A 23,978-nucleotide genomic window follows, 5' to 3' on the forward strand; every position below is an offset into this window, starting at 1 on the left:
GCCATCCTGGGTGCAGCTGCAGCCGCCCAACCACGGCTGCAAACCCAGGCATCCCTGCTCTTTCCAGGGCCGGGAAGGCCCCCTGCCCTCACAGACTTGGAAATGCCTGCTCCCGCTGCCTGGCCTCTCCCCGCTCCCGGCACCCACACCAATTTCGGAGCAAAGTTGTGGGGGAGCCCAGGTGTTGTCAGGACCAGGCCGCGTGTGCATGTGCTCAGGACGGCACTGACACACCAGCCCCCTGCTGCCTCATCTCCCTCTGGACTTTGGGCAGGCCAAGCGGTAGGCTGAGGGCAGCTCAATATGGGCCTGCAGGCGCCCCTCGGCACGAACAGCCTCGGTGTAGTGGGTGGCAGGTTGATGGCAGCAGGAAGTAGGCTCCTGGGAGGAAAGGGGTGGGTCCCCAGTGAAGACCCACCTTCAAGCCAGGAACAGCTTGAAGCCTGGAAGCCTGGCTGCCAGTTACACGGACCACAGCGAGAACTTAGGGTGCTTTTTCCAGGCCCACCCATGACTGCCTATGGACCAATTAGCATTCACTTCCTCCCTTCTGAAGCACATAAAAACTAAATTTTTGGTGGAACGCTAATACCCTTTTCCACAGTGGCTGTACCATTGTACACTCCCACCTGCAGTGGACAAGGGTTCCAATTTCTCCACATCTTCACCAACACACGTTATTTTCTGGGTGTTTTTTTATTATTATTTTATTTTCCCCTTTTGGCGACAGGGTCTAACCCTGTTGCCCAGGTTACTGTGCAGTGGTGCACCCATAACTCACTGCAGCCTCAACCTCCCAGCCTCAGGAGATCCTCCCACCTCAGCCTCCTGAGTAGCTGGCACCACAGGTGCATGTCACCACACCCAGCTAATTTTTTGTATTTTTTGTAGAGACAGGGTTTCACCACGTTGCCCAGGCTGGTCTCAATCTCCTGGGCTCAAGCGATCTGCCTGCTTTGACCTCCCAAAGTGCTGGGATTGTAGGCATGAGTCACCATGCCCAACTGTGTTTTTTTTTTGTGGGATTTTTTTTGTTTTTTGGTTTTTTTTGAGACAGAGTCTTGCTCTGTCACCAGGCTGGAGTGCAGTGGCATGATCTCAACTCACTGCAACCTCTGTCTCCCGGGTTCAAGCAATTCTCCTGCCTCAGCCTCTCAAGTAGCTGGTACTACAGGCATGCACCACCATGCCTGGCTAATTTTTTGTATTTTAGTAGAGATGGGGTTTTACCATGTTGGCCAGGATGGTCTCAATCTCCTGACCTCGTGATCCGCCTGCCTCAGCCTCCCAAAGTGCTGGGATTACAGGCATCAGCCAACATGCCCAGCCCCAACTGTTTTTTTATTAATAGCTATCATAATGGGTGTGAAACAGTATCCTGTGGTTTTGATTTGCATCTCCCTAATGATTAGTAATTGTGAGCATCTTCTCATGTGCTTATTTGTCCATTTGTATATCTTCTTTGGAGAAATGTCTATTCAAGTTCTTTTTCTGTTTTTCATCAGGTTATATTTGTTGTTAAGCTGTAGGAGTTCTTAATATATTCTAGATATTAAACTCCTTATCAGACATATGATTTGCAAATATTTTCTCCAGTTCCATGGGTTGCCTTTTCACTCTATTGATACTGCCCTTTGATGCACAAAGTTTTTAATTTTGATGAATTCCAATTTATCTGTTTATTTTGCTGCCTGTGCTTTGTGTCATATCAAAGAAATCATTGCCAAATCCAGTGTCATAATGTTTTCCCTCTATGTTCCCTTATTTTTATTTATTTATTTACTTTTTGAGACAGAGTTTCACTCTTGTTGCCCAGGCTGGAGTGCAATGGCGCGATCTCAGCTCACCGCAACCTCCGCCTCCTGGGTTCAAGCGATTCTCCTGCCTCAGCCTCCTGAGTAGCTGCGATTACAAGCATGTACCACCACGCCTGGCTAATTTTGTATATTTTTAGTAGAGACAGGGTTTCTCCATGTTGGTCAGGCTAGTCTGGAACTCCTGACCTCAGGTGATCCACCCATCTTGGCCTCCCAAAGTGCTGGGATTATAGGTGTGAGCCACCATGCCCGGCCCCCTCTATGTTCACTTCTAAGAGTTTCATAGTTTTAGTTCTTATGTTTAGGTATTTGTATGCCTTTTGGACTTTTAAAATTTTCCTGTAGCAGTAAAGAGAGAAGCCAGATTGCAAGGGGCTGAAAATCTAATGAAATGTGAATACTGAGAATAGCGGGTTCTTTCCAAAGCTTGATCATGAAATGAAGAGAAGTAGAGTTGGTGATAACTAAAGAACTGTATGAGATCAAGAGGGCTTTGTTTTGTTTCTCCCTTATAATGGAAAGACCTAAGCAACCAATTCTTGAGATGTGACTCCTCTTCTTGGAACCAGATATAAGTAAAAAGACAATCCTTGGACAGGAGGGTAACTCTTTCATAAACATAGAAAGAATGGATGGGTACAGACGCAAATAATTTAATAAATTCAAAAGGCAAGTAAAACAAGATCCTCTGCTTCAAAGAACTCAGAATAGTTGCTGGGGAGAGGAGAGGAATGCACTTAAATAATCAAAAGCGGCCGGGCATGGTGGCTCACGCCTGTAATACGAGCATTTTGGGAGGCTAAGGCAGGCGGATCATGAGGTCAGTAGATCTAAACCATCCCGGCTAACATGGTGAAACCCCATCTCTGCTGAAAACACAAAAATCAGCTGGGTGTGGTGGCGGGCGCCTGTAGTCCCAGCTGCTCAGGAGGCTGAGGCAGGAGAATCGCTTGAATCTGGGAGGCGGAGATTGCAGTGAGTCGAGATCGCGCCACTGTACTCCAGCCTGGGCGACAGAGCGAGACTCAGTCTCAATAAATAAATAAATAAATAAATAAATAAATAAATAAATAAATAATCAAAAGCAAGTATCATGTACACCCAAAGCAGGGAATGATTAACTCTACCTAGAGGATTCACAGTGGGTTATGTGTGAGTGATTAGCAAAGTCCATCACTTCTGACAAAACAACTTAGGGTGTAGTAAGACAGTTACTTATAAATAATAGCATATATTTCATATATGTCACAATTTATTTCTATATAGCACTGTAAAATGTTCATACATTTTCCCCACTTATTATCTCAAATAGTGGTAAAAGAAAAAGAGTGAATTTTTTTCTTTTTCTGATACAGAGTCTCGCTCTGTCGGCCAGGGTGAAGTGCAGTTAGTGGCACGATCTTGGCTCACTGCAACCTCCGCCACCCGGGCTCAAGCAATTCTCCTGCCTCAGCCTCCCAAGTAGCTAGGATTACAGGCGTGTGCCACCACACCCAGCTAATTTTTGTATTTTTAGTAGAGACGGGGTTTCACCATGTTGGCCAGGCTGGCTCGAACTCCTGACCTCAGGTAATCCGCCCGCCTCAGCCTCCCAAAGTGCTGAGATTACAGGCGTGAGCCACCGCACCCGGCCCTTTTTCTTTTTTTTTTCTTTTGAGACGGAGTCTCGCTCTGTCGCCCAGGCTGGAGCGCAGTGGTGTGATCTCGGCTCACTGCAACCTCCGCCTCGCAGCTTCAAGTGATTCTCCTGCCTCAGCCTCCCGAGTAGCTGGGACTACAGGCACGTGCCACCACGCCCGGCTAATTTTTTGTATTTTTAGTAGAGACGGGGTTGCACCATGTTAGCCAGGATGGTTTCGATTTACTGACCTCATGATCCATCCGCCTCGGTCTCCCAAAGTGCTGGGATTATCGGCGTGAGCCACCACGCCCGGCCTGACTTTTTTTTTTTTTTTTTTTTTTTTTTTGATTATTCAAACCACAAAGTCCAATCCTAATTGATTACATATAGGATCAATAGCATTTACAGCTAATAAATGCCATAAAAGAACTGATACTGGTCGGGCATGGTAGCTCATGCCTGTAATCCCAGTGCTTTGGGAGTCCAAGGTGGGCAGACTGCTTGAGCTCAGGAGTTTGAGACCAGCCTGAGCAACATGATGAAACCCTGTCTCTACAAAAGAAATAGAAAAATGAGCAGGTATAGAGACACACACCTGTAGTCCCCAGCTACTCAGGAGGCTGAGGTGGGAGGATCGCTTGAGCCTGGGAGGCTACAGTGAGCCAAGATTGTGTCACTGCACTCCAGCCTCGGTGACAAAACCAGACCCCTGTCTCCAAAAAATAGAAAAGAAAAAAAAGAACTGTTCTCTGGTCCTGGTACATAGTAGACATTTAAAGAAAAAAAAACAACTCTTCAATGAATGAATGGTTCATAAGAACCTTCCTGAATTTTGTGGTTTCTTCATTCCTAATGTACAGCCTTCTGGACCTATGGAATATTTACCTATTCCCTGCCACTAGACTATAAGCTCCTACAGGTGGCAGACTGTGCTTTATTTCTCTCTGCATGTCCTAAAGTGCCATTAGACCGTAAGCTCTTATAGGAGAGAAAATGCATTTTATTTCTTTTTGCCTCTGCTACATCACCTAGAACTTGCTTAATAGAAAAACTTACTGAAATTAACAAATGTTTTTAAGTAACATAAACTCTAGACACAAAGAATCAAAGGGCCAGGCGTGGTGGCTCATGCCTGTAATCACAGCACTTTGGGAGGCTGAGACGGACTGATCACTTCAGGTCAGGAGTTCCAGATCAGGCTGCCCAACATGGTGAAACCCTTTCTCTACTAAAAGATAGAAAAATTAGCCAGGCGTGGTGGTGGGCGCCTATAATCCTAGTTACTTGGGAAGCTGTGGCACTGAGGCAGGAGAATCGCTGGGACATGGAGGTGGAGGTTGCAGTGAGCCAAGATCGCACCACTGCACTCCAGCCTGGATGACAGAGTGAGACTTCATCTCAAAAAAAAAAAAAAAAAAAAGCAAGTTTGTATATGCTACTAAATAAAGTCCTTAAAAAAAAAAAAGAATCAAAGAACAAGTAGTTACATTTGCATATGAAAGCAAAACAACTTAGTGCTATGTATCTTATTTAAATCAGCGCTGGCCAATAGAAATATAACGTAAGCCATAATTTTGTTATTTTCTGGTAGCCACATTAAGAAAAGAAACAGGAAAAAAACAATTGATCCTAACAATATATCTGAAATATTAGGTGAATGTGTAATCGATATAAAAATTATTCATGAGATCTTTTACATTCTTTTTTCTGGTACTAAGTCTTTGAAACCCACTGTGTATCTTATATTTACAGCACATCTCAATTTAGACTAGCCGCATGTGAGGTGGTCAATGGTCACATTTGGCTAGTGGCTACCATAGTATAGGGCATCACAAATTTAACAAAAAATTCAAAATCTGTAATTACAAGGTAACATGAATTGTTTTAGACAAAGTCAGGAGACATTATGATAAACCACAGTAATTTCACAAGTATCATTTAAAAATGTGAACAAAGAGGAACATGGGAAGAGGAGCCAGGATTGTGGGTAGTGGTCAGAGTTTCTTACAAAGTTTCATTTTGTAAAGATTATGTACTCATGTATTATTTGTGTAATTTTTAAAAATCAGTTTTAGAAAAATGTAAATTGATTACCATTCATTAGATCTACTATCAGAAGAAAGAAACTTGGCCGGGCGTGGTGGCTCATGTCTGTAATCCCAGCACTTTGGGAGGCTGAGGTGGGCGGATCACTTGAGCCCAGGAGTTTGAGACCAGCCTGGGCAACATGGTGAAACCCCGTCTACAAAAATACAAAAATTAGCCAGGCATGGTGGCACACACCTGTAGTCCCAGCTACTTGGGAGGCTGAGGTGGGAGGATCGCTTGACCCCAGGAGGCAGAGGTTGCAGTGAGACATGTTCATGCTATTGAACTCCAGCCTGAGCAACAGGTGAGCCAGTCTCAAAAAAAAAAAAAAAAAAAGAAAAAAGAAAGAAAACTCACAGGAGTGAGCACTTCTTATTTTGTGACTTCTACCCTGGAACTGAGCTAAGAGGGTATAACTTTTCAAAAGCATACTATAAAATTTGAGTATTAATGTAAGTATTATATAAAGCTTAGGCACCTCCTCTGAGGTAAGCATCAAATACCAGGATAACCAAGACAGAATGCACCTGCCCTAAAATAATTTGCAGATTAAAGGACAAACAAGAGGTAATTATGGTTAAGAACTGACAGGCCCAAGAAAGAACACAAAGGGACACTCAGCCCTGAGCAGGGCCCTGTCAGTCATGGCTTCCTTAACGAGGTGATACAAAACTGACTCCCTAAGGGACAAGGCAGTGAAATAAGGGTAAGAGGGAGGGTAGTCCAAGCACTGGAAACTGTAAGAGGCTCTATGTGGCTAAAGCCTTTAGAGATGCAGCTGAAGAGGGAAGATAAGGTTAAATTTCAAAGGACTGGCTAAGTAGTTTGGATTTTACACTGAAGGCAATGTGTAAGCACTGAAGGATTTTAAGGAAGTAAAAATTAAGCAAGTTTTAAAAAACTTGCTTATTTCCCTGTTTAAAAGATTCCAATGGTTTCCCATCACACAATAAAATCTCACTCCTTTTTCTAGCCTCCAAGGTGCTGAAGGATGTGGCCCTTGCCTACCCCTCCCTGTTTAACTCATACCACTCCCCTCTTTACTCCCTGTGCTCCAGCCTTCTTACTATCCTTTTAAAAGTAGGCTCATTCAGCCTTGGCATGGTGGCTGAGGTGGGTGCATCACTTGAGGTCAGGAGTTGGAGACAACCTGTGCAACATGGTAAAACCCCATCTTCACTAACAATATAAAAATTAGCTCGGTGGTGCAAGCCTGTAGTCCCAGCTACAGGAAAGGGAGGCTGAGACAGGAAAATCGCTTGAACCCGGGAGGCAGAGGTTGCAGTGAGCAGAGATCACGCCACTGGAGAGGGCGAGACTCCGTCTCAAAAAAAAAAAAAAAAAAGCAGGCTCATTCCCACTTATGGGCCTTTGTACTTCCTATTCCATCCCAGATTCACGTGACTAGCTTCTTTACACCATCAAATCTCCTCTAGTGGCTAATGCTGCTGCTCCTCAGAACCTCCTCCACATCCCACTGTTCCATTTAACATTTTAATAGCAACTATCACATTTGAAAATGTCTTACAACTACAAAGCAATCTCAAGTAGGAAAATCAGAGAAGGTGATTCTGAAATGACATCTAAATGAAACCATCCAGTGTTCAGATAGAAGGAACAGCAAACGATTAAAGGCAGGAACAGCCTTGGTATCCTGGAGAAACAAGGTCAGTATCACTAGAGTAAAGTAAGCAAAAGAGGGATAAAAGGTGATGAAGTCAGAGGCAGGCTGAGCCAGATTATGTAGAACCTTAGAGGCCTTGGTAAGGAGTTTGGATTTTATACTGATTTTAAGTGTGCTGGAATGTCAAAGGACGGTTTTGTGCAGGGGAACTTACAATATGACTAATAGATGAAAAATCACTTTACTGAGTGGAAAATCTATTATAAGTAGGTAAAAGTAGAAATGGAAAGATCAACTAAGGTTACTGTAATAGTTCAGGTAAGAAATTCTGGTGGTAGCAGTGGAGACAGTGAGAAGTGTTAGATTCTAGATGTATCTTAAACATATGGTTGTCAGAACTAACTTATGGATTATTAAGCGACAAGGGAAAAAAACCAAGGATGACTCCTAGGCTTTTGGTTGGCATATTTACGATAACACAGGAGAAGGAACAAATTCAAGGGCGCAGTAAATCAGGCGTTCTGCTTTGGATATGTTAATTTTCACTTCCCAGTGTGGATGTTGAGTAAGCAACCTAATATATATCTCCGATCTAGAAATATAAATTTGGGAGTTATCAGCATATGGATGACATTTAAAGCCATGAGATTAGGTAAGATTACTTGGGAAGACAGCACAGATTAAAAGAGGGCCAAGGACATAGACTGAAAGCACATGTGAAAATAGTTAAGAATGACTTCTAGATTTCCAGTTTGGAGAACTAAGTGAATATGGTGCCATGTACTGAGATATCTCTACTTCAATGAATAAGAGAAAAATAATTTTTTTAATTTAAAAAAAGAAAGCTTGTGAAAGCTAGGACATGTGGGGAATTTGTATTGGATATTCTGAACCTTAACTACACATAGGACACTCAGTGAAACTACCAGTATACAGTAAATATACAATTCTATAGAAGACATGATTTGGAGAAACATATTAGTAGTCATCAAATAGCAGATTATAGTTGAAGGCAGGAGAGTGGAAAGGTCATTTAGCAAGATTATGCAGAGCAGACTGCTAATAGCAAAAAAACAATAGGACAAAATTTATCTGAGGGACTGAGGAAGAGCAGCCCATAAATTAGAACACTAATATCTTTTTTTTTCAGTAGTCTAATTGCCATAGTCAATTAAGAGGAAACATTTTGGAAGAAAAGGCCTTGAAAGCTTGAATCTGAAACCTAGCTCTGTTATCTGCTAGCTGTGCCTTTGGTTCTTCAACTTCTCTGTCCCTTTTTCTTAAACAGTGGTAACACTTGTTTCATTCTATGTCATGGATATACTATGAAAATTGATTAGCTTTTTTGATTCAAGTAGTTGTAATGAAAAAGCCATGACAATTAAAAACTATTAGACAACTCTCTGTGGGTCAGTTTTTCTATTCTTTCTCTTGGAATAGCTACAAATAAATGAAAGGTAACATAAACTCTACTGATGAAACCGACTATATATAATCCAAGAACCAATTATTTTTATTAACAGGACTCACGGAGGAAGACAGAAGAGGGAAGAGAAGTATTAACCAGTTAATTCTACTTTAAAGCAAAGTGGCAAAAATATACTCAGCTTCACAATGAGCCTGAAAGATGAAATTTGTAAACCAACTTCCTACAATGATCACTTTTCTTCCTCTTCTTTTAGAGAGGTAGAGGTTATTTTATAAACTAAACACAAAGTATACTTGCCACAGATAAGTGGAAAAAATTCACACACTCAAAAATAGTGATGCAGTTACGACAAGAATGGTCCCTTCATTTATCCTTTTATTCATATATTGAGACTAGATTATTTGGATGGCCAACCAGTGGAAATGAACACAACTGCGCTGCAAAAAGAAAGAGAAGTAGCTATCCCATTGGCTTAATGTCAGCTTTGACTTTGTGTGGAAAGTTTTCAAACAGTTTAAGAAATTGGGAAGCAGTTATTCCAAATGATAATTTAACTGCGGTAGCAGCACAAGCTTATTTATTTCTTGTTCGCAGTAGTGTAGAATTAAAACAAACAAAGCAAAACAAGCTCTACCGAGTCTTTAGGCCTGGTTCAGGGAAGCCTGCCTGTGTATTGAAGAGGTGTGAGAGCCATCAACACCTCTCCCTCCTTGTGGTAAGATACTGGTTTTCATGAGGTTTACAGACAACATGCATTTGCAAATGAAATATTAAATTGTCTCCAAATTTTGGCAACACTCTGTGCACGCTGAGATTTTGTGGACCCAGGGGTCTATCTCTCCAATTTCTGACTAAAATAACGGATCGGGAACTGGACGATCAATACGAGGGAGGTCACATCTTCAGTATGTACTATGACTTCACTTCAAAGAAAAAAACTGCCTTTTCCAGCAAGTGATGTCACTTGCAGAAAATGAGAAGCGGTGATTTTCTTTCAAGGGCAGTTTGGGGACAAAATGTAAGGCTAAAAACCAATTCCTCCACGAGTGATCACAAAGAACAGAAACTGATGGGTCAAGTCCCTCGTCTAAGGAAAAAGATTTTCGAGAAGAAAATGAGTGTAGAAAAGTGACCAGAAAGCGATCAGCAGGGACTCTTCCTCCAGCTGCAGGAAGCAAACTCTCGATCGGGGTGAGTGGTAAACCAGGGCCGGCAGACGCCTCTCTCCCCCACGGACCGGCTTCCCGCAGGTTTGTGGCGACTGCCCCATGTGCTATCAACGGGCACTCTGAGGGAGAAGCGCCCAAATCAGCCACGGAGCATCTCCACAAGGGCCGCAGCGGGGGCTTAGGGGATCCCAGCCATAGCGCAGCAGGGGAGGGGAGAGCACGTGAAACCCAAGCCGGAATCAGCGGAGGAGGATGCAGGACCCAGGCTGGGCCTAGCCCTACCTGCCCAGCTCCCGCAGGGCGGGGATCATGGAAGCCAGCTCCAGGCCATGTTCCCCCATGCTGAGGCTGCGAGGCACTAGTCAACCACGCCAACGCGGGTTCCCGGCGTCTCCAAAGCTACCGCTGCCGGAAGAGCGCGGCGCCCGACGGAGCCGTGTGGAGGCCAAAACTCCTCCCGGAAGCCGCTACTGGCCCCGCTTGCCAGGCCCAGCGTCTTTTCTGCATAGGACCCGGGGGAAGCCGGGAAGCCGTTAGGGGGCGGGGCAAGCGGGCGGGCGTGCGTCGGTCAAGTTTCCCGGGTCGCGTCAGGCTTCTTTCTCAGCACCGAGCGAGCGACGTTCGTGAAGCTTTCGTTTTGAGCGGCCAGACTCTGCTGTTCTCAAGCCTGGGAGGCACAGAGAAGCAAGACTTCCGCATCGGGGGAGGATAGGGCTTGAGGGCCGCCAGCCCAGACTCGCTTCACAAATGTGAGAACTATGACAGTCCAGCGAGTAAAGGCCAAGAGTAAACTCCAGGTTTCCCCAGAGTAACGCTCTCACATTTTAAAAGTTCCTCACGTTCCCACCGCTCTTGTCCCTCTTTCTGAGAGATACAGGCCAAAAGGTGGGCTCTCCCTGTTTTTTTCCTTTTAAGCATTTTTTTTCAACTTGAAGTCACTGTTAGGTTTCGTTGAGGACCCTACCAACTTTTAATATTTGAAAATGGGGTTGGAATATATTTGTGTCTCATCAAATCAGCAACAGTACTGTGTGTGGAAATGCCACCATTACGGGCATCCGCAACCTGTGATTTAATTTTTAAAGTAAATCAATGGATTTTGGCAATACACATTTTCTAGCTCAACTCAATTTATTGGAAAGATGACCACCATAAGAGATTGTTGACATGTCAAAGTTATGTAGTTAATCACTCAAAGTCATGCAGTATGTTTACATTTGTTCTTTGGTACATGAGGATAGTTAACCGATACAGTATCTTAAAGAAAAAAGTGATGGAATGACAGCCAAATATGCTCTTGCCTCAAGAACTTTGCATTTGCTGTACTCTCTGCCTTGAACACCACTCTGTCATTGCCCTTTTTCCTTCAGGTGTTTGCCAAATTAACACCAAAGAGCCTCATATAGACTAACATATATACACATTCTGTCTCACCCTCTTTTTTTTGTTAGATACATTGTCTTACTCTGTTGTTCAGGTTCTAGTGCAATGAATGTTGCAATCATAGCTCACTGCAGCCTCAATCTCCCAGGCTCAAGCGATCCTCTCACCTCAGCCTGGGCTCAATTGATCCTCCTGCCTCAGCCTCCTGAGTAGCTGGGACTACAGACATGCCACCACGCCTGGCTAATTATTTTTTGTAGAGACAAGGTCTTGCTATGTTGCCCAGGCTGGTCTCAAACTCTTGGCCTCACACGCTCCTCCCACCTCAGCCTTCCAAAGTACTAGAATTAGAGGTGAGAGCCACCACACCCGGACATACTATATTATTGTCTCTCTCCAGTTAGAGTGTAAGCTCTTGGAGAGCAAGGTCTTGTCTATTTTGTTCACTCTCAGATACCCAGGACCTAAAACTGTGCCTGGCACATAGGTGGTGTTCAGTAAACATTTGTTGAATGAATCACTGAATGTTTTAGGAGAAAGGACATGGGATTGGGAGTTACAGGCCCTACACAAGTTCTCATTCCATCTGCTAGAAACTATATGACCTCAGTAAAGTTACTTAATCTCTTAATACTTCCATTTTTTCATTTATAAAATGGGATTAATAATGTCTACCTCACAAGATTACAGCAAAGATTAAATAAGAGGGGGTAAAGTCATAAAGTGGAATATAATTTCATAGTTAAAATGAATGAATTATACTACCTATACCAACGATGAATCCTGAAAACTACATTGATTGAAAAAGCAAATTCAAAGGTATACATAATAGTGTCATATCATTTATATACAATCTTAAAACCACAAAACAATGCGTTGTGTGAGTTATGTATACAAATATGTTTGATAAAAGTATGAAAACATGTTTGGCAAAGATAGATATCAACTCCAGGATAGTTGCACCTGTGGAAGGGAGAGAAGGGAATGAAATGATGAAGCTTCAATGTATCCCTAAGGGTTTTCTTTTAGTAGGATTTGAATTAATTATTATTTAATCAAAATTTAATGTTATATTTGGGTGGATGTTATATTACTATTTGTATCTGCATAGCCAGGATATTCCAACATGTATTAAAAAAAATAGCTCCTTCCCGTCTTGTAAGATGGTGGGGGAAAAAGTTGAGAAGCCAGACACCAAGGAGAAGAAACGTGAAGCCAAGAAGGCTGATGCTAGTGGCAAGGTTAAAACATAACTTCGGTTGGGCACGGTGGCTCACGCCTGTAATCCCAGCACTTTGGGAGGCTGAGGCAGGCGGATCACCTGAGGTCAGGAATTCAAGACCAGCCTGGCTAACATGGTGAAACTCCATTTCTACTAAAAATACAAAAAATTAGCTGGGTGTGCTGGTGGGCGCCCGTAATCTCAGCTATTCGGAAGGCTGAGGCAGGAGAATCGCTTGACCCCGAGAGGCGGAGGTTGCAGTGAGCCGAGATTGCATCATTGCATTCCAGCTTGGGCAACAAGAGCGAAACTCCGTCAAAAAACACAAACAAAAACACCTCAAGGCTAAAAAGCCAAAGAAAGGGAAGCCCCCCTGCAGCGGAAATCCTGTCCTTATCAGAGGAATTGGCAGATATTCTCAATCTGCTATGTCAAAAAGGCCAGGTACAAGAGGAAGTACTCGGGTACTAAATCCAGAATTAAAAAGAAGAAAGTCCAGACTTGAAAAAGGAAAAGGTTCTTGCCATTGCTACAAAACCAGTTGGTGGCAACAAGAATGGTGATACTTTTTGCAAAGTAAACCCTACAAAATGCCTAGATCCTTCCAAAGATGTGCCTGGAAAGCTGCTGTTGAGCCACAGAAAAAACAAACAGAAACACTTCAGTCAGCACAGAGAAAACTGCAAACTAGCTTCTCTCCTGGGATCATTCTGCTTATCCTCACTGGGCACCACAAAGGCAAGAGGGTGGTTTTACTGGAGCAGCTGAGGAGTGGCTTGTTAATTGTGACTGGACCTCTGGTCCTCATTCACATTCTGTGGGAAACACACCAGAGGTCATCACAAAATTGAAATCAGCAATGTGAAAATTCCAAAACATCTTACCAATGCTTGCTTAAGAAGATGATGCTATGGAAGCCCAAATACTGGGAAAGTGACATCGTCAACACAGAAAGAGAGTAATAGAAGATTATGGAGCAATGCAAGGTTGATCAGAAAGCTGTGGACTCGTGGCCAAGCACGCTAGCTCACTCCTGTTACCCCAGCACTTTGGGAGCCTGAGGCGGGTGGATCACTTGAGGTCAGGAGTTCGACACCAGCCTGCCAACATGGTGAAACCCCATCTCTACTAAAAATACAAAAATTAGCCTGGCGTGGTGGCGGGCATCTGTAATCCCAGCTGCTGGGGAGGCTGAGGCAGGAGAACCACTTGATCCCGGGAAGCAGAGTTTGCAGTGAGCAGAGATCGCACCACTGCACTCTAGCCTGGGTGACAGAGCAAGACTCCATCTCAAAAAAAAAAAAAAAAAATTAGAAAGTTGTGGACTCGTAAATGTTACCAAAAATCAAAGCTATTCCTTAGCTCCAGGGCTACCTGTAATCTGTGTTTGCTCTGATGAATGGAGTTTATCCTAGCAAATAGGTGTTCTAAATGTCTTACCAAGAACCTAATTAAATAACTGATGCATTTAAAAACTAAAATAAGTATACTTTTAAGCTTAAATAACACATCTGAAAAATAGTTTAAAAATACCAAATTTTAGCTATTTTTAGAACATATGAAGAAAGATTATAAAAATTAGAATGCTATCTGGAAGGCAATAGCTAAATAGCATGGTAATTCTAAAAAGCAGTATAAATTTGCAAGCCTTATAAATAATAGAGCCTCAGAAATCCCATTTAATTCAAAAAGTCATTTTGGGCAAGATATTGGGTTAGGTACTTCTGTGACAGACACAAAAATGAGGAAGATGAAGTTAGTTTCAGCGGGGCATAGTGGCTAACACTTGTAGTCCCAGCTACTTGAGAGGCTGAGGTAGGAGGATGGCTTGAGCCAAGGAAGCCAGGGTTACAGTAAGCCACAATCTCGCCACTACATTCCAGCCTGAGCAACAGAGCCAAATCCTGTCTCAGAGGAAAAAAAAAAAGTTAATTTCAGGTAATGTACAATTTGTGGATACAGAAAGGATATAATGAGAACATAGACAATTAAGAGCAAAGTGAAATCCAGTGAATGCCAGGACAGGGATATAAACAGCATGTATTGGAAAAATAGAGGACACAATCTACTCCAGTGGAAAGAAGAGGTGTATCAGGAAGGAGCTCAAGGAGAAGGTGTCACCATATCTGAGATTGGACTTGAAGGATGAGGAGGACTTCAAGAGACAGAAATTGGGGAAAAGGAATATATTCTAACTAGAGGCAGCAGTATGAACAAAAAGCATGCTGAGGGAGGGACACGGTCCCCTTTGGCTGGTACAAGGGAACATTTAGAGTAGTCTGAGACATTTGTACAGACTTCAGTAAGTATTGGAGAGGCTCTGGGAGATTTCATATAAGAGTGATGGTCAAAGCTACACTTGAATCTGGCAGGAGAGTGTAGAACAGAATAAAAGGAGAGTAGCAGGTCATTTAGAGAAATCAAACATCTATAGCAGTATTTTAACAAATGAGTTGATTCAAGAAGTCAGCATTCCAAGTAGACATCCTCCCTCTAGTAACTCATGTATTATCCAGGCTGGTTCCATTTCTACACCTTCTACTCAGCCCTAAACCTACGTATACTATACTCTCTGTCCTGTTTGCCCTCCCACCCCTTAAGTGCCTCTCACCAGAGTTACCAATGACTTTCATATGGCTGTTGACCAGTTCTTTCCTTTGACCTTTTAGCAGCATTTGACAATAGAGACCAGCTGTCCTCAACCTTTTTGGCACCAAGGACCAGTTTTGTGGAAGACAGTTTTTCCATGGACAGGGAGGTGGAGGGATGTTTTCGGGATGATTCAAGCACATTACATTTATTTTGCACTATTATTACATTGTAATATATAATAAGTCATTATACAACTCACCATAATGTAGAATCAGTGGGAGCCCTGAGTTTGTTTTTCTGCAACTAGACGGTCCCATCTGGGGTGATGGGAGACAATGAGAGATCATCAGGCATTAGATTCTCATAAAGAGCATGCAACCTACATCTGTCACATGTGCAGTTCACAATAGGGTTTGCACTCCTATGAGAATTTAATGCCCTGCTGATCTGACAGGAGGCGGAGCTCAGGCGGTAATGCCAGTGATGGGAAGCTGCTGTGAAAAGAGATGAAGCTTCACTTGCTTGCCCTCCACTCACCTCCTGCTGTGTGGCCCGGTTCCTAACAGGCCACTGGCCAGTACTGTGGCCCAGGGGTTGGAGACCCCTAATGTAGACCACTGCTGCTTTCTTGGAAAGCTTTCTTTGGACTCCATGACGCTTACTTGTTAACAACACTTCTTTGCCATTCCCGTTACTGTTGATATTCCTCAGGATTCTAACTTAGTTTCTTTTCTCTTTTTTATTATTTCATTCACACTCAAGGCTTCAATTAACTTTCCGTCTGCTGTTCACTCCAAAATTCATTGCTCTTCCCTTATCTCTCTCCAAGATTTATATTTCCTATGTCTATCTCCCTACTGAATATTTTCCCTTCAGCATTTCCCAGGCACTTTATTTTGTTTAACTTTTTGTTATGGGGACTTTCAAATATATATAAAAGTAGACACAATAAGGAACTCCTTTATGTCCATCACCCAATCAATGATTATCAGCATATGGTTAGTCTTTGTTTCATTTATAACCACCTTTCTCATTTTCTCTCTCCTCAGTTGGATTAAAGAAAAGTCTAGACCTCATATCAATTTATCTGCAGATACTTCAGTTTATATCTTTAAAACATAAGGACTAGATTCTATCTCCTAAATATCAAACCTATCCACTTTCCCCCAAATTCCCTTACCACCATTCTAGTTTTAGACCATCATCACCTCTTGCCTAAATTACTTCAACAGGCTTCTAGCTTGCCTATCTGCCTTTAGGCTTGTTTTTCTCTAACCCATTCTCCATACTTGAGGGGGAGAGAGTCTCCCAGACCTTTTATTTTTCCTGAAACGAGTCTCACTCTGTCGCCCAGGCTGGATTGCAATCATGTGATCTCGGCTCAGCTGCAACCTCTGCCTCCAGGATTCAAGCCATCCTCCCACCTCAGCTTCTCAAGTAGCTGGGATGACAGGTGCATGCCACTATGCCCAGCTGATTTTTGTATTTTTAGGAGAGATGGGGTTTTACCATATTGGCCAGGCTGGTCTTGAACACCTGACCTCAAGTGACCTGCCCACCTTGGCCTCCCAAAGTGCTGGGATGCTGGGATTTAATAGGAGTGAGCCACTGCGCGTGGCCATCTCCTAGCTTTTTTGTGTGTGTGTGTGTGTGTGTGTGTGTGTGTGTGTGTGATGGAGTCTCACTCGCTGGAGTGCCGTGGCACGATCTCGGCTCACTGCAACCTCCGTCTCCAGGATTCAAGCCATTCTCTTGCCTCAGCCTCCTGAGTAGCTGGGATTACAGCTACTGTAATCCCAGTGTGTGCCACCACGCCCGGTGAATTTTTGTATTTTTAGTAGAGATGGGCTTCGCCATGTTGGCCAAGCTGGTCTGGAGCTCCTGGCCTCAGGTGATCTGCTGCCTTGGCCTCCCAAAGTGCTGGGATTATAGGCAGGAGCCACCATATCCGGCCAATTTTTAATTTTTGTGGGTATATAGTAGGTGTATATACTTTATGGGGTACATAAGCTATTTTGATACAGGCACACAATGTGTAATAATCACATCAGGGTAAATGGGGTATCCATCACCTCAAGCATTTATCTTTTGTGTTACAAACAATCCAATTATATTCATTTAAAAATGTACAATAAATGTTTGACTGTAGTCACCCTGTTCTGCAATCAAATGCTAGATCTTTTTTCTTTTTTGAGACAAGGTCTCATCTGTTGTCCAGGCTGGACTACAGTGGCCTGATCTTGGTGTACTGCAGCCTTGGGCTTCCAGGCTGAAGTGATTTTCCCACCTCAGCCTCCTGAGTAGCTGAGACTACAAGTGCACACCACCTCAGCTGGCTAATTTTGGTGTTTTTTGTAGAGACGGGGGTTTTGCCATGTTGCCTAGGCTGGTGTTGAACTCCTGGGCTCAAGTGATCGGCCTGCTTCAGTCTCCTGAAGTGCTAGGATTACAGGCTCAAATACTTATTCTATCTAACTATATTTTGTACCCATTAACCATCCCTACCGCACACCCGTCACCCCCCCACTACCCTTCCCAGCCTCTGGTAACCATCATTTTACTCTGTATCTCCATGAGTTCAATTGTTTTTATTTTTAGCTCCCACAAATAAGTGAGAACATGTGAAGTTTGTCTTTCTGTGCCTGGCTTAATTCACTTAACATAATGACCTCCAGTTTCATCCATGTGGTTGCAAATAACAGGATCTCATTCTTTTTTATGGCTGAATACTACTCCGTTGTGTACATGTATCACATTTTCTTTATCCATTCATCTGTTGATGAACACTTAGGTTGCTTCTAAATCTTGGTTATTGTGAATAGTGCTGCAATAAACATGGGAGTGCAGTTATCTCTTTGATAAACCAATTTCCTTTCTTTTGGGTATATACTTAGCAGTGGGATTGCTGGATCATATGGTAGTTCTAGTTTTAGTTTTTTGAGGCACCTCCACACTGTTCTCCATAGTGGTTGTACTAATTGACATTCTCACCAACAGTGTACAAGGGTTCCCTTTTCTCCACATCCTTGCCAGCATTTGTTATCCAACTTTTTAAAAATTATTATTCAGTAGTACTCTTGAAATTTTAAAAATTTGTATCCTAATATGTGCACATTTTTATTAACCATATATAGTTCTACATCCTAATGTACATGAATTTCATGATAATGTAAATTTGAACATAATACAACTACTAATTGATTCCTGCATTCCTGTCAGCCCTCTTTTTATCATTTGGGGAGTAGGAGTTTGGAGGAGAGGGTGAGGCAGGAAGCAGAGTGGTTGGTGTGGATAGGTCCCAGTGTCCCTGGTATTTCCTAAGCCCAGTGTCACAGATCAAGTTGCCAAAGGGGCATCAGTCAGTGTTCTGGAATTCCAGTCAGCCATGTGTATAGAATTGTCCCCATTCATGATTAAACTAGAGTGGAAAATGACCACCAGGTGGTACTACAACCCAGTTGAGACTAAGATAGACTTGGTTCTCAGCCAGATGCCCAAACTCCTGGTTGGTTAGCTATGCAAGTTCCAACATAATGCAACAGTTTTACAAGTTCCTTTCTACATCCGAATGAACTTCAGTGGACACCTCTTGGTACACACACATTCAATAATATGCATTTTTAACAAGCTTCTAGATGATGCTGATGTTGTTTGGAGTTGTTCTACACAGCAGTCAGAGCAACCTTCTTAAAACCCAAAGACCACGACATTTCTCTTCTTTAATAGCTTGGCTATGTATGGAATATTGTCAGACATAGATAAAGGGTAAAAGGGGGCACATGTCTGTTAGTTTTCTTTGGGTAAAGCCTCAAATAATAGACAACATAACCACAAGCCAATATTCTGAAATTTAATAGTGCAGAATAGCCAAACTGCACCAATACACTTGTCCCATTTAGTGGAAACACTGCAAAAACCCATTACAAAAAAAAAGCCATCATAAAGTAACAAAATATTTAAGAAACTTAAAAGTAAGCCATTTGGCTTCCTATCCCTGTGGCAGTTTCACATCTACTAAGACTGTATTATAGAACTAACTAACACTCCACTGTATTTGGAGACAATTCAGAAATAAGGACATGGACTAATTCTTTATGTCTCCAAGAGATTTCTATTTCAGTAATGAATTATTGTCATTTTCATTGCTAGGTCCTGAGTATGACCCTAAGATTATGTAAAATATATCGGAATAGTATGATTATTTGTATTTGCGATTACTATTTTTACTTTTCTGAAAATACTTTCACCTGCTATTATCCTCCAAGTAGCTCTGTAAATAAAATGCAGAGAGGTTTCAGAGTTCTCAAAATTGAGCATGCATCAGAATCACCTGGAGAAATTCTGATTCAATCGGTCTGAAAGGAAACTCAGTAATTCGCATTTTTAACAAGCTGCTAGATGCTACTGCTGCTGGTCCACTGCCCACACTTTGAGTTAGCACTGTTTTAGGGTAGTGGTTCTTAACTTTGGCTACACATTGAATTTATGTGGATGAGAAGATTTTTAAAAAGTATCTGGGGACTCCCAGAGATTCTGATTTGATTAGGTTACGGCACTTACATGTATGTATATGCATTTCTCTACTTACCAGCAAGTTCAAGCATCTACTCATGTCTATTAATCATTTGGATTACCTTTTTTTAGTAAATTACCTGTTTAGAATTTTATCAGTTTTAATTTGGTTGTGTCTTTTTTATTGATTTATACAAACATTTTAACATATTATGAATTAAACCTTTTCTGATTTATATCTGAGAATATTATATCTTAGTCTGTCACTTGGCTCTTATGTAGGAATTTTAATTTTTATTATATCAAATCTACCCATCATTTCCTTTGTGTCTTCTGGATTTTAGTCTTGCTTAGAAAGGCTAACCACAAGATTTAAAATGTTCTTTTATACTTTTCCCTAACATTTTTGTACTTCAGTTTGCTAGTATTTGTTTTCCCATTTATCTACAGATCATTTTTGAAACAAGATCAGACAACTCATTTCCCAGACAGATAGTTCATATGTTGGTATTGAAGTCCCTTCTGCCACTTTCAAAATAAAGAGTTTAAGGGATCTAGATGATATACAAAATCTTTGAGAGAAACAGGCTTCATCATGAGTCTTCAAGAACTCCCCAAATTACCTGTCAAGGCAGCTGCTAACTCTGAAAGGATCAGGACGCTGCAGAATTAGGAATCTGCCCAAAGGGGTTCATGCCTTTCCTCTCTCTTCATGTAATACAAATTTGAATCAGTCTAACTTGGCTTGGTAAAACCTAAATCATTTTTGGAATCCTAGCTACAAGTGAATGTGGGAAATATTGGTTTTGGCTTTCCAGGAAGGCATCCAAGAAGACAGTTGGTCAATCCATGCATGGTATCTGTTACTATGTCACTGACTAGTCAATCATTCTCCTGTATTTTGAAATGCCCTTATTTTCATAAATACATCATAGATATATTTAATGAAAAGATATTTGAGGACAATCAGCAGCCTTTGCCACACCCCATAGCTCTTTCATAATTTGCCATCTGTTTCAGTTAATGTGGTATATGATCTTATTTTTTTCCAAATAAGTAAGGGCAAGGTATGGGGGGAGGGTGGAGAATGTAGAAAATTGCCTCAGGGCACCCTTATAGGCCCTAAAGCCATTTTTTTCTGCCACTGCTAATTGGGGTGACATCATTCTGGGATAATAGGCCAGCTTGATTTTCCAGTTATTAATCTATGTCTATTCTGAAACCCAGACCATTCATTTCATTTTTTAATTTCAGCTATCATATCATATATATAACATATATCATATATATCTCATATATATATATATATATATATTTTTTTTTTTTTTTTTTTTTTTTCTAACAGGGTCTCTGTCACCCAGGCTGGAGTGCAGTGGTGCAATTATGGCTCACTGTAGCCTCAACCTCCTGGGCTCAAGTGATCGTCCCACCTCAGCTTCCCAAGTAGCTGGCTGGGACTACAGATGTGTGTCACCATGCCTAGGTAATTTTTTTCTTTTTGAGATTGAGTCTCGCTCTGTTGCCCAAGCTGGAGTGCAATGGCGTGATCTCGGCTCACTGCAATCTCCACCTCCCGGTTCAAGTGATTCTCCTGCCTCAGCCTCCTGAGTAGCTGGGATCACAGGCACTCACCACCATGACTGGCTAATTTTTGTATTTTTAGTAGAGACAGGTTTCACCATGTTGGCCAGGCTGGTCTCAAATGCCTGACTCAAGCAATCCAGCTGCCTCAGCCTCCCAAAGTGCTGGGATTATAGGCATTAGCCACCGTGCCTGACTTCCTAGCTAATTTTTGTATTTTTGTATTTTTGTGGTGATGAGGGTTTAGCCATGTTGCCCAGGCTGGTCTCAAGCTCCTAAACTCAAGCGATCTGCCTGCCTCGGCCTCCCAAAGTGCTGGATTTATAGGAGTGAGCCACCACACCCAGCCTCAGTTATCAAAATTTTAAATTTCCAAATATATACTCAAAGTTTTTGTACATATGACATCTTCTCATGTTTCTCTGAAGATATTATACATTTCAAATGTCTTCTTCTGATTGTTCTGTAGCTTTGTTTTGTCTAATAATAATTGTAAAAATGGTGCCTCTTTCATGGTAACTTTTTTCAAATGTATGATAATGTGTTAGCTATCTGTTCAATTTTGTATTTTAGAATCTCTCTTCCTTTTGCCTATTTATTTATGGTAGCTGTTCTCTGCCAATTTTGTATAGGGAACAGCACTTATAAGACAAGGGTGTGTGGTTGCTCATCTTTAAAGTGTGGAAGACTGGTGTTCTTCCTGGTGGTCTATTGCTTTCTGGGCCACAATTTAGAACCAGTTGGAGAGAAGAAAGTGGTTGACCAGCCTAGCTACTCTAAATCTCTTATTCTAATTACTCCCCCTGACCAATGTCTCAGTACCCTCCTCCCTACTTCTTGATCTGTTAACTGTAAGTTTGTACACCCTCTCCCCAACTACTACTATTTTTGCCTTTAGCAGATTCCTCCATATGATTTGAGCCGAATTTTCCTTCCATTTGGTTTTTCTGAGATTTAATCTATCTGCATTCTGTCTTTTCTCAACATTTCTGGTTTGTCGATGGCAATTTTTTTTGTTTCTAGGATTTCACCATGTTGACCAGGCTGCTCTTGAACTCCTGAGCTTAGGTTGATCCACCCGCCTTGGCCTCCCAAAGTGCTGGGATTACAGGCATGAACTACCACACCCAGCCTTCTTTTACTTATTTTTATTTTTATTTTTTGGAGATGGAGTTTCGCTTTTGTTGCCCAGGCTGGAGTGCAATGGCACGATCTTGGCTCAATGCAACCTCCGCCTCCTGGGTTCAAGCAATTGTCCTGCCTCAGCCTCCTGAGTAGCTGGGATTACAGGCATGCGCCACCACGCCAGGCTAATTTTGTATTTTTAGTAGAGATGGGGTTTCTCCATTTTGCTCAGGTTGGCCTTGAACTCCCAACCTCAGGTGATCTGCCTGCCTCGGTCTCCCAAAGCGCTGGGATTATAGGTGTGAGCCACTGTACCCGGCCTTTACTTTTTAAAAGTATCTCCTGGCTGGGCCCTGTGGCTCATGCCTGTAATCCCAGCACTTTGGGAGGCCGAGGCAGGCGGATCGCTGGAGCTCAGGAGTTCCAGACCAGACAGGGCAACACGGTGAAACCCTGTCTGTACAAAAAATACAAAAATTAGCTGAGTGTGGTGGTGCATGCCTGTAGTTCCAGCTACTCAGGAGGCTGAGGCAGGAAGATCAATTGGGCCCCAGAGGTGGAGGCAGTGAACCATGTTCCTGCCACTGCACTCCAGCCTGGGTGACAAAGTGAGACCCTGTGTCTCAAAAATAAATAATGATTAAAATAAACAAATAAAATTATCCCCTTTATCATTTCATGAGATTTTAGGTGGTAGGTGGGTTTAGGTGTGTGTGCTTTGTTGGCTATTTTGATCTTATCTGTGTTAGATCAAAACGGTGTGTGTGTTAAATTTTGTGTGTGTGTGTGTGTGTGTGTGTGTGTGTGTGTGTATGCATGAGAGAGAGAGAAGTTTTGCCCTGTTTTTTTGGACTTATTTCTCATATTATTGTTTTCTCTTCTAAATGATTTATCATAAATTCAGAGTTGAAATGAATACTGAATCTCCCATCCAAGTACTAACCAGGTCTGACCCTGCTTGGCTTCCGAGATCACACGAGATCGAGAGTGTTCAGGGTGGTATGGCCACAGACTGAATATTGAATCTTAGTCTTTCTCACATATGTTTTTTTCTCTACTCTCTTTGTTCTGGAAAAAAAAAACCAGCCAAATGAAATAAATATGGTCACATCACACTTGCTGGTATCATTCAGAATGCACCTACTTTTCTAAAATTGATTGTAAAATTGGTGCCTATATAGTAGCTGATTTCGGGATGCTGATCAGGGCTGGGTTGCAGTGGGGTGTTGTGGTTATAAGCATGTTAGAAACCATCAGGCTCTGGGGAATGAACTAACATTAGCCACATTCACAGAGACTCGGTTATAATCCAGAATGCCAATATTTTTCCCTTAGAATACAGGGACCAGTATTGTAAATAGTAGAAAACTGGAGTTGAATCCTGGTTCTTCCATTAGCTTTTTTTTTTTTTTTTTTTTTGAGGCAAGGTCTCACTCCGTCACCCAGGCTGAAGTGCAGTGACGTGATCTCAGCTCACTGCAACCTCTGCCTCCCTGCATCAAGCAATTCTTCTGCCTCAGTCTCTCAAGTAGCTGGGACTACAGGCACATGCCACCACACCCAGCTAATTTTTGTATTTTTTGGTAGAGATGAGGTTTCACCATGTTGGCCAGGCTGTTCTTGAACTCCTGACCTCAAGTGATCCACCTGTCTCGGCCTCCCAAAGTGCTGGGATAAGCCACCGCGCCCGGCCCGCCATTCACTCTTGAGTTGGAATCCTGGTTCCGCCATTCGCTGTCTTTGTTACCTATTATTATTGAATCTGCACTTTTGTCTTCATGAATATTAAATGAAATAAACAATGTGAACTTCTTG

General features: G+C 42.3%; 1 protein-coding gene and 2 pseudogenes across 9 annotated transcripts in view, besides 2 other annotated features; 1 reads left to right on the plus strand and 2 right to left on the minus strand.

The window, feature by feature from the left end:
- The window catches only part of ATR (ATR checkpoint kinase), a 129,499-nt gene extending 119,381 nt beyond the window's left edge, over positions 1–10,118 (minus strand). For all 9 annotated transcript variants that reach the window (NM_001354579.2, XM_011512925.2, NM_001184.4 and 6 more), the window contains exon 1: positions 10,031–10,118. In NM_001354579.2, the coding sequence (NP_001341508.1) occupies positions 10,031–10,089 (59 nt within the window). In that variant the 5' untranslated portion in view covers positions 10,090–10,118. The remainder of the gene's footprint in view (positions 1–10,030) is intronic.
- Positions 9,909–10,068: an enhancer, noted in NCBI's record as "active region_20643". NCBI's record gives its function as "activates an Ori minimal core promoter by ATAC-STARR-seq in GM12878 lymphoblastoid cells {active_cell/tissue: GM12878}" and the evidence as "EXISTENCE:reporter gene assay evidence [ECO:0000049][PMID:35858748]".
- Positions 10,369–10,468: an enhancer, noted in NCBI's record as "active region_20644". NCBI's record gives its function as "activates an Ori minimal core promoter by ATAC-STARR-seq in GM12878 lymphoblastoid cells {active_cell/tissue: GM12878}" and the evidence as "EXISTENCE:reporter gene assay evidence [ECO:0000049][PMID:35858748]".
- RPL6P9 (ribosomal protein L6 pseudogene 9) lies at positions 12,674–13,363 on the plus strand (annotated as a pseudogene).
- Positions 23,062–23,176, minus strand: RNA5SP143 (RNA, 5S ribosomal pseudogene 143; annotated as a pseudogene).

The sequence above is a fragment of the Homo sapiens genome, chromosome 3, assembly GCF_000001405.40.
Source record: "Homo sapiens chromosome 3, GRCh38.p14 Primary Assembly".
Taxonomy (NCBI): domain Eukaryota; kingdom Metazoa; phylum Chordata; class Mammalia; order Primates; family Hominidae; genus Homo; species Homo sapiens.